This window comes from Homo sapiens, chromosome 1 (genome assembly GCF_000001405.40).
Source record: "Homo sapiens chromosome 1, GRCh38.p14 Primary Assembly".
In the NCBI taxonomy this organism is placed as follows: Eukaryota; Metazoa; Chordata; class Mammalia; order Primates; family Hominidae; genus Homo; species Homo sapiens.
Window position 1 is genome coordinate 200,218,495 of NC_000001.11, and position 11,374 is coordinate 200,229,868.

The following is an 11,374-nucleotide window of genomic DNA, read 5'->3' on the forward strand; positions in this document are numbered from 1 at the left end:
CCGACATCCTAATACTATCACTTTGGGGGTAATATTTCAAAAAAGAAATGGGAGGGGGACACAAACATTCAGTCCATAACACTCCATGATACTTATACAAGGCAAAGCCTGGCCTTGGTGGCAGCCCAGTGGATTCCAGTTGTGTGTTCCCAGTGATGGCTGGAGAAAACACTGAACCCAAGAATAATGAAATGTTGGCCATGGTGGCCTACAAGGAAAAGCTACTGGCAATTGAGCCTTGATCCTGTTTTCAGGATCAAGATTTGAGAATTTTTTGTTAATGCTATTTAGCTCAAAGGTATGCTTTTCTCAGTTCTGCTCTGCATATAGTTTCTTGAATCCACTCCTCTTTCCCTCACTTGCGTTGCTGCACCTGCCCTCTGTGCTGTCAGTTCTTCCTTACTTAGGTCCACCCTGCACACCACCACCTCTACCTGAATAGCCCCTCATCTGAATACATGGAATCAGGCAGACCTGTATTTATTCATGTTACTCTCCTCAACCCATAAAATATGTTAGCATTATGATCAGCAGGTCACCACCTGCTGAGATCACTTAAAAGAGTGTGTGCATGTGCGTCTGTGTGTGTGTATGCATATAAAGAGTCTGTGTATATATATATATATTATAAAAACAGTACAGTATATATTGATCATATTATGTAACTGATTCTTCAGCATCTGCAGAAAAAATCTCAAAGTCCCTTGTCAACTCACTACCTGATTCTCCCTCATCACTCATGAAACCCCCATTCCACTGTACTGCAGCTCATACTACTCCATTTGCCCAGAAAGCCTCCTCTTTTTTATTTACCTCAGTACTGAACTGAAAGCACCTTGAAGGAAGGAATCATTTTATACCCATCTAACTTGATGTTTGAGAATAATAGGTGATTAATTCTTGGATTGACTGATTGATGACTTCTCTTCAGCCTTGTGATACACAGCTCAGAGTCCATTGCTTCCATAGGAGCTCATCGCCCACCTGCCTGCAGGGATCCCTTCCTCTTTTGAACGGGCACCTATTGGCTGTGCAATCCATTCAGCAACACACCATGAGATATCATTCTTTTGCTATTGTATTGTGCCTTTTAAATTAAAAAAAAAATTGGAAAATTTTTGTGGGTATGTTCTATTTTTTATGAGTTTATGCTTAATCTCTTCAGGGACCATATAATTTTTTTTCCCTACCACCATCTCTAAAGTCTTAAATAGGTCTCACAAAAAGTACAAACAATATTCATCCACTATAATTTAGAATATTAGTATTATTAATTCTAGAATATTAGAATTAATTCTAATTATGTATCTTGTTTACTTATAGGTAATTGATATTCATTATTAATTAAAACCAAATAGGTTTATTTTTACATGCTAGAATTTTGTAATTTCACATTTTTTTACACTGGAAAGTCAAGCTTTCTCTTTTCATCTTTTAGCAATTGTGAATGACACATGAAACATGACCTTTTGGTACTGAACTTAGTACTTTATAGTACTAAATTTATAATACTAATTATAGTACTATAAATAGTGCTAATTATAGTACTAATTTATTTCTAAATTGAGTACTTTATACACAATTTAGAAATTGAAGTGTAATTCCTAAGATTAGGAAAGATACATCGTCTAATTGGTCTTTGATATCTGTCCATGTGCATATGAGGATGTATTATTTTGTGTCTCACCTTTTATGGTGGCCGGCCTTCAAGATGGCCCCCAGGGATTCTTGCCTCCTGGTACTCATGCTCCAAGTAGTCCATAGTCTCTTCCCACATTGAGTAGGGCTGGCCTGCATCATCAATAACGTATCGTACAAATGATGGAGTGTGATCTCCAAGGCCAGATCGTAAAAGAAAAGACATTGCAGCTTCTCCCTTGCTCTCTCTTGGGCCACTCACTATGGGGAGCTAGGTGCCATGTCATGAGGACACACAAAGAGGGGTCCACAGGACAGGAAGTTGAGGCCTCTTGCCAACAGCCAGCACTGAATTGCCAACCATGTGAGCGAGCTACTTGGAAGCAGACCCTCCGCATCGGTGGATGTCAGCGGCCTCAACTGTACTTGACATCACTTTTTTTTTTTTTTTTGAGATGGAGTCTCACTCTGTTGCCCAGGCTGGAGTGCAGTGGTGTGATCTCAGCTCACTATAACCTCCGCCTCCAGGGTTCAAATGATTCTCCTGCCTCAGCCTCCCAAGTGGCTGGGATTACAGGCATCTGCCACCACACCCAGCTCATTTTTGTATTTTTAGTAGAGACGGGGTTTTGCCATGTTGGCCAGGCTGGTCTCAAACTCTTGACCTCAGGTGATCTGCCCACCTCAGCCTCCCAAAGTGCTGGGATTACAGGTATGAGCCACCACGCCTGGTCAACATCACTTTGAAAGAACTGGAGCCAGAACCATTTGTGTTCCTAACCCACAGAATTGTATATTATGCATGTTCACTGTTATTTTAAACTACTAAGTTTTGGAGTAATTTGCTATATTTTACTATATGACTAATATATCTGAAGATAGAAATTTTTACTTAATGTAAATAATAAAAAGAGAGTTTCTATGACAAACTAGAATGCTGTAAGTACAGATCAAAAGAGTCTTGTGAAAAGACAATCAGGGAAAAACAAGTTTCTTGTAGTGAGATGGATTGAGTGAACTTATATCTGAAATATGAAGAAAATACTTTAAAACTCAAGCAAAAAAAGAAAATAATATTGAAGACTTTATTATTTGAGGTCTTACTGATTTGTTTGGTTTGAGAAAAGAGTCCAGGATACACATAATGACCGTGACAGGTAACCACAAAAAGCTGAAGGGGTTGCCTGTGTCACTGCCCTAGTCCAAGCCAGTGTTCTCACCCAAACCATGATACAGTAAGAGCCTCCCACTAGTCTCCCCACAACCTCTACTGCCACATGTCCACACTGAAGCCAGAAATGTCTTTTTAAAATTTTTTTTTTATTTTTTAGAGATGGGTTCTTGCTACATTGGCCAGGCTGGTCTCAAACTCCTGGCCTCAGGTAATCCTTCCATCTCGGCCTCCCAAAGTGCTGAGATTACAGACATGAGCCACCACGCCTGGCCCAGATATATCTTTTCGATGTCTGCTGAATGTCACCATTCCTTCAAAAAATATTCCCTTGCCCCTCAGATGAAGCCCTTGAGTAGGGTCTCAGGACTGCATGCTGTGGCCCTGCCTTCTCCCCCAGCTTCCGTGATCTCTCTGTGCCCTCTAGCTCTACAGGCTTTCTGGAAGTCCTCCAAGTTTGTCGTGCTCCCTCCCACCTCTGGGCCTTTGCACATGCTATTCCCTCTGTCTGGTACACTCCCCAGGTCTCACCTCCAAACCACATCCTCCCCTTGAACTCTCCTCAGACTCTCATCTTTATCTCTCAAATCTCCGTGCCATGGGCAGCCTCTCAGGGAACCCTTTGCTGATGCCCTTGTCCAGGCAAGGATCTCGGTCATAAGCTAGTAGGGACCTTATACCTTTCCCTCCCAGCTTTGGCTGAGTGAGCAATTATTTGATTTTTGTGTCTCCCACAGCTGACTGTGGGCAGAGCCAACCCTACTGGGTTTGTGCCCTGCACAAAGGTGCCCAGCCCAGGTCACTGTCCAGTAAAGTCCTGCCTGGGCTCTGCCTGCCAAGCTCTGCCTAGGTCTGTGTCACACAGTTTTTGGTTTTTCTCTTGGGGAGATGAGGGGTGGGGATGATAGTTTATACTGGATACTCCATGAGAACAGGGGTGGCTTCTGATTTAGGTCACCATTGAATCCCCAACAGTTAGCATAGGGAAGACACTCAGCAAATATTGCCTTAATTAGTTCATTTAGTAATTAAGGGCCAGTTCAGTCAGGACTTATCTTAATTTGAGGACTGTCTAAATTTTTCTTGCCTCTAAGTACCATGTTGCCCTAAATTACTCGTACTCCATTGCCATCCCTCGAGTATTCCCTAACCACAAATTCCTCTGGGAAGGGAAACACTAAATCAATAACATCTTAATGTGAGTTAATTTATCCAAGATTAAAAAGTCAATTGCTTTACAAGACCCCCAGAAAATAAGGTAAAGAACATGTGAGTTGTAAAGGGGAAGAAAGTTCTAGAAACCTCCCAATATTTTCCAGGCTTTGAGCTTTTTCTCTGACAAGAAATAGTTATAATAAGTCATAAGCTATAATTCCTTTTCACTGTAAAATGAAATGGTTACTTAAAATTAATTAAGTTTCTACCATATAGATTGATCAAGATGTTAGCAACCATATTCCTTTTTCCCATTCTAACCTTTCCATAACATACTTTCAACCAGGAATGGATCTAAATTGGGGGGGGCCTGAAACTAGTATAATTCAGGGATCTTCTTTAAGAAAAATGTATAAAAGTACAAATACAAAATACCCATGATGGTTGTGGGTACAAAATACCCACAGCTATCCCAAATCACCCAACATGGGAAGAAGTATGAGAGTGGAGTGGTATGGTTAAAATTTCTCACCAAATGTCACACAAATATATGACCACGTGAAAATAAATGTAATCACATACAACCGTGTGACACACACACACCCTTCCCCCGGAGGCTCAGAATGGGTCATGCATGGAAGGAGCCCTGCAAAGTCTGCCTCGGCATTCAGTAAATCCTAGTTCAGCTCTCTCTCAGTCTCTTCTAATTCCTGTGGAGAGGGCCCATTTCTTATTTTATACACATGTGTCAAATGTCTTTTTCAGACTCCTTTTGTATTATTTTCTATCTCATTTTTGTTTAGCTCTGTAAAACCTTATGTTTGAATCTTCACTATGGTCAATTACACAATAAACGAGTCTTTTGTTTTTTAAATAAATAAGTCTTTGGTTTTAGTCATCTTTGTTGAGCCCCTCCTATGTACCAGGCTGTGGTAAGCCCTGGGGATACAGCCAGGAACATGAGGGGCAGGGTCCAAACTTTCCACTGGTAGTTGTAGGAGAAAGACAATAAACAGATAGATAAACTATCAAATATTAGGGAGTGAGAAGACGAGAACAGCAGGGAATGTGGTCAAGAGTGAACAGGTGATCTGGGACAGCCTCTCTGAAAAAGTGGCATTTCAGTGGCACCTGAGTGACAAGAAAGAAACAACCACACAAAGCTGGTCAATTTCATAGATTAGTGCAAAAGTCCGTTGATTTGTGCAAAAGCAACGAGCCTGTTCAAGGAGCAGAAAGAAGACCAGTGAAGCCCCACAAGAAAGTCCAGGCTTTGGAGGCCAGGGTAATGAGTTTGGATTTTATTCTAAGTGCAGTGGGAAGTTTCTGAAAAGAACTAGGGAAAAATGATGACATGACATTTTACATTTTTAAGTAATCACTCTGGCTACTGTGTAGAGGATGGATTTGTAGTGGGAGCAAGAGTGGAAGCAAGGAAGCTAGGGAGGAGGCCTTTCAATTGAACAATAGGGGAGCTTGGGGCAAAGCTATGCTTTTGGTCACCAGCAGAGTCCCCCCTACGCGGGGCCACTCCTCCCTCAACCACTGTTTAGGCATTTGGTAGGACCCTGAGAAAATACAAAAAACAACTGCCAAATACCTGTCTAGCATTGCCTATGTTTTTCCAGATCTATTTTTCCAAGTATCTTCTCTGCATATTGTATACCTAAAAGGATGGAGGATGAGGGAGGGTATGGGAGAAGACAGGAAGCCAGCTCACTCCCAAGTTTTTCTTTAAAGATAGAAAAAATAATTCCTAAATTGGGGGCACAAAATTAGAATGACCCCACCCAACCCAGCTCTAGAGTTAGGCAGACATAGACTCAAGTCCTGGCTCCACTAGTTATCAGCTATGAGACCTCACTTTACTTCTCTGCACCTCAGCTTCCTGATCTCTAAAATTGAGTTTGTTTATAGTATTTCAGTGGGGATTTAATGAAATCATGCAAGTAAACCACATTGTTTGTTGCTAGGTAAAACATAGGCATGTTCTTCTTCCCCCGCGTGAAAACTTGGCCCCAGGCACAGGTTGCTAATGCAGTCACAGCAGACGTCTTTGTTGCCCTTCACTGTGATTCAACCCCACCATTCTTGAGCAAGTCTTTGAAGCCCATCCAATCTTAACAGAACTGCTTTTGTGGGTGAGACATCTCTAAGAAGTTCAATTGTGTTTTGGACCAAAATCATTTGCCATTCTTCTGTTCCTAACACACGGGTCTCTGTGTGTTGATCTAACAAATTGGTAGTGTTTTGAGTAATACATCATGAGGCCAATGGCACCTTAACGATGTATTACATTAATATATCATCAAAGCCATGGCATTGTTATGATATATTACTTTAATACATCATTGGAGTGCCACAGCTTTAATGATGTATTACTCAAGACCATAGCAACAGCTAGAAAGATCAAGATAAGTTTTGTATTTTTAAAACTTATTCTCAGTAAATATAATTTTTTTTTAAGTTTCCACAATAAAATATGTGTTCAAACGAAATACGAGGATGCAAGGCCTCTGATAAGTAAGCAACGAGATGCTTCCTTGGTCATCCTCCTCCCACTGTCTACTACGTACCTGGCTCCTAAGTTCATTTTAAACCACTTTATCCAAATCTCCTAAAAGTAATATTGCTACTGAATTTATGATTCTATAAGTATCCCAGGGATCTCCAATTTAATGTTACAGCTGCACATTTATAGAGCAGTTGTTTTTCCAATGGTAGCTTAAGCATTTTCTACCCACCTTTCCAAAGGATTCTACACTGTCCAGGCCAAAATGTCCTTCAAGAAACTCTTGGGCAAGTTTGATTTTTTGTATAAGATGTCTGAATCCCCTGTATCTCTAACTTCTCCTCCTTGTTGGCATATCAGTGTGTGTGTGAGAGAGAGAGTGTGTGTGTGTGTTGTATATAACATTGTATGTCCTCTCTGAGAGATTTCCAATATGTAAGACGGATTTAGAGATAGACCTAAATCTCAGATCTTCCATGTAACAGCCTTAAGCATTCACTATTTTTAGCATAATGAAAGTTGACCAAGAAATTGGATTACTGGAGTTGCACCAATTGCAACAGTATCAGTATCAATAAAAACAGGAAAATGTTTTAGTCCGTATCCTCATGACAAATCTTGACTGTCTAACAAGAGTTCCACTCACTTGAAAATGGTTTGAAGAGCAATCACATGCTTCCTGTGTGCGTGTGCATGCACACACACACACAAAATGGGAGAACAAGACATTGGGGCCAGAGATCTGACCTCAAAGCAAGCCTTCTTAAGAAGGCCCTAATATTCTAATACTCACACTCCCTTGAATTCAATTGTTAAAATTTAATTTTCCAGCCTGGGCACCACGGCAAAACCTCTTCTCTACGAAAAATACAAAAATTAGCCAGGCATGGTGGCGCATGCCTGTAGTCCCAGCTACTTGGGAGGCTGAGGCAGGAGGATCACCTGAGCCTGAGGAGGTCAAGGCTGCAGTGAGCCAAGATTGTGCCACTGCACTCCAGCCTGGGTGACAGAGTGAGACCTTGTCTCAAAAAAAAAAAAAAGTTTAATTCTTCAGAAAATTCAGAATTCGTGTTATTTAGGGAGGGGTAATGCAGTTCTAGGCAGAGGTGACAGCCTGCTTCTGAAATTTCTAAGACATAGCTTTATACTGTCAGTGTTTTTCACGTTGTGAAATTTAGAAGCACCCAATCAACCACTCTGCAACACCCCGATTTCTCTATCCTGGTGTCTTTCACTCTTTTCACAGCTTTGGCTCAAATCTGTCATACCAGATTCCTCTGAACACCTCTCAGGCAGGAAAGCCTTTTCTCATTTCGAGTGCCTGACTTGGGAATTGAATTCTCTCACCCTCTTTTCTCTCTTCATCTAGGCTGAAGGACTGCAAGGGAGCCAGCTGCATGAGAATAGATTAGGCGAGAAATGATGATTCAGCACCCACGGCTTCCTGCCATGTGCTAAATGATCAGTTTAGTCTCAATCAGCAGATAAAGAAAAGGCCCGGGGAAGGGACAAGAAGATTCGCCCTGGCAAAGGGAAGAATGACAAAGATCTTCGCATCAGAAATGTGAGGTTTGCAATAAGATGGTACTGAAGAAAAAAATGTGTCAAATGGTTTTTGTCGTTTGTTCTTGAAGGTAACCAGAGGCAGGAAGCCTTGTTGCTTATAAATCACAATTAACCACAGAGCTACAAGGGGCCTCTGAGATTAGACTCAATCCCCGATTTTACAAATGAGGCACAGGAAGTGCTGGGTAGCACCTGCGATTCCTGGAGCACCTTTAGAGAAGTTCACAAATTACATTCAGTGGCGATCAAACAGGAGCATACGTTTTTCTCTGCCCAGAAGGGCCACCCCATCCTCATCATCTGTACTTAACCCAAAATGCTCAGTCTAAGTCCCACTTTCTCCAGGAAGCCTTCCTGACTCACCCAAGCCTGTGATGACTTCCCCCTGCCTCTGATCCCCTATAGCTGACTGTCCCTTCATTTTCATTATCTGCTACTTTGTATTATCATTTTCCCTTTCTAAGATGTATTTGCCCAATAATTTCAAGTTCAGAAACTTTGGAAAGGGTACATGCACCTGCCCCGGGCAGGCAGAAGAGTGGTGGGAGCAGGTGAAGACACAGCCTTTGGGTTGCAGGAGCAGGCATGCTGCAACATGCTGTGTGCTTCTCTTGCACAGCACCTTCACAAAGCAGCTGTTTAATACAGGCTGTCCATAAAGTCAGGAAACAAATCATATAATACAATTCTTAGTAAAGATTGAAGATGTTCCTAATGCCATCCTGTATATTTGCCTGGGTCCAGACTTTGTGGACCACCTGACTATGTTGGTTATTTGTACAAATGAAGGAAGTTCTGACATAAGTTCCTGAAATCAGAGTGCAAAAGAAAACGTTTGTGTCCCAGAACTTCTGGCTCCTCTTTTCACCATTCTACTATAATCATTTCTTTTTAAAGTTCTAAGTTGAAATGGTACCGTATCACTTTTATGTATAGTCAGGTATATGCAGATATAGTTAGATATATAGAGATATATACAAAACTGCAGTTTTATCTTTCATAAATAATAGTTTAAAATACACACTAAAATAAAGACTACAAAATACTTGGTAATTTTCATCTGGACTCTTCATAGAAAATTAGAAATCAATGGATTTTTCTGGAACTCTTATTGGGAAACAGATATTTCTATATGCAGTCTCCTAAGGAGACTTGTCTTTTTGTACACACATAAACGAGTAATTACTTCTAGTACACAAAAGTTCACACTCATCAACAGAAGACTCTGCCTTAATTCCAACTTTTCCTGCAAACCATTCAGATAATCATTCAGAGTCAACTGAATTTTCATGATATAAGAAAAGGCACATTCATTGCAAAGCATTCATCTTTAAATTTGTAAAACATGTCCTTGTGAGATGATATTTTCAAAAAGGATCTGCCAGCTACTCTGTTAATGTATTGCATATATTAACAGAAGACTAAATACCATAGTTTTCCAATCTAGCAAGACTGCACAATGAATCAGTTTCACTAAACCTAATTCCATTCACCACACCGAATGTGTGCCTTCAGCCCTTGGAGTATTCCAACGCACTCAAATGCTTGACAAGAACAACACGAAAATTGAGTTTCCCGTCAGGGTCAGGATGTTGCATTTTTGCTTCACATACAATGAACAGATTCCTTTCCTTTTTCACTTTCCAATGATTGTGTGTGTCAGGCAGATACAAACAACAGAACTCTGTACTTCCGAAATCTCAGCATCAATGCATACATTAAATGGAACAAAGTGATGCCCACGTGACACTTTTCTGAGGCAAAACACTTCTCCCCAGGAAAAAAAAAAAAAACGTGGTCAGGCATTATATGTTTCCCCAGTTACCCTCGTCTCTTCTTGACCTTCCTTCCTGCTGGTGCTATATCCTTTGTTACCAAGATAACTTGTTTATAAAAGTGCTGTATCAGTTACTGAAAACAAGTGACACATGATTTACCTGGGGTGTATTACAAAAGTAAATGCCAGGATCGAGCAAGAAACTACAGACTCTCCTTTCTGAACATTGACTTCTATCATGAAGAAAATTTGAGCCTATAAAACTGTCACTAGGATACAAGAATTACCCCCAGAGTAAAAGTTTGCTATGAAAACTACAAACATTTTAAATTTCTTTCCTCCTTTTATGCTCTGTAATCTCTCGTGATGATACACTGTTTCTGGAATTTAAAAATGGATTCATGGGCTGGGCACAGTGGCTCATGCCTATAATCCTGGGACTTTGGGAGGCCAAGATCACTTAAGGTCAGGAGTTCGAGACCAGCCCGGCCAACATGGTGAAACCTTGTCTCCACTAAAAATACAAAAATTAACAAGGCTTGGTGGCACACACCTGTAGTCCCAGCTACTCAAGAGGCTGAGGCACGAGAATCGCTTGAACCCAGGAGGTGGAGGTTGCAGTGAGCCGAGATGGCACCACTGCACTCCAGCCTGGGTGACTGAGTGAGGCTCTGTCTCAAAAACAAACAAACAAACAAACAAACAAACAAAAAGGATCCATGTATTACATTATTAAGTGCAATTAACACATCTTGTAAAAACCCACCCCTTTACTCCATTCACACGGCACTATGCAATCCCCATAATAAGCTCTGTTCTCATTCAAATCCTGACCCTGGCTTAGGTGATTCCTCACCAAAATGCTGTCTTTTCATCCTTTGTCTGGCCAATTATTACTTGTACCTCAAGTCTCAAATTAGGCTTTGCTTACCCCAGGAAGCCTCTCTCAATAGTCCAGCGCTTGACGAGGGTAGATGATTTTCCTACAGCCCACTGCGCTTTTCCTTATCATACCATCTATCACCCTTCATCGTAAATGTCTGCTTCCTTCTCAAGCCCCCTCCCCAGGCTGAGGTTTCTTGGGGACAGGTACTCCATCTTTCTTACTACTATACACTCAGCACTTAACAGTGCTGGGCACATAGCAGACACACTCACTACATTTTTCTGGAATAAGTGAACATGATGTACTCAATTTTTAGTACATACAATGAGAGGAGTGGGGAATTATTCCTACACAAATAGCTGAACCTCGATTAAATTCTGCTCCCCGTCATCCAGCATGTTCCAGTTCCCTGTCCTCTCTCCATTCCTTAAAGAGACATGGCTGGCCTGGCGCGGAGGCTCACGCCTGTCATCCCAGCACTTTGGGAGGCCGAGGTGGGTGGATCACCTAAGGTCAGGAGTTCGAGACCAGCCTGGACAATATGATGAAACCCTGCCTTTACTAAAAATAAAAAAATTAGCCGGGCATGGTGGCACGCACCTGTAGTCCCAGCTACTCGGGAGGCTGAGGCAGAAGAATCTCTTGAACATGGAAGGCAGAGGTTGCAGT

The 11,374-nt window shown here is 41.4% G+C and overlaps 2 annotated features.

The window, feature by feature from the left end:
• Window positions 5,812-6,330: an enhancer, noted in NCBI's record as "NANOG hESC enhancer chr1:200193434-200193952 (GRCh37/hg19 assembly coordinates)". NCBI's record gives its function as "activates a minimal SCP1, AML or CMV promoter by ChIP-STARR-seq in primed H9 embryonic stem cells {active_cell/tissue: H9 hESC(primed)}" and the evidence as "EXISTENCE:reporter gene assay evidence [ECO:0000049][PMID:30033119]".
• Window positions 8,254-8,941: an enhancer, noted in NCBI's record as "H3K27ac-H3K4me1 hESC enhancer chr1:200195876-200196563 (GRCh37/hg19 assembly coordinates)". NCBI's record gives its function as "activates a minimal SCP1, AML or CMV promoter by ChIP-STARR-seq in naive H9 embryonic stem cells {active_cell/tissue: H9 hESC(naive)}" and the evidence as "EXISTENCE:reporter gene assay evidence [ECO:0000049][PMID:30033119]".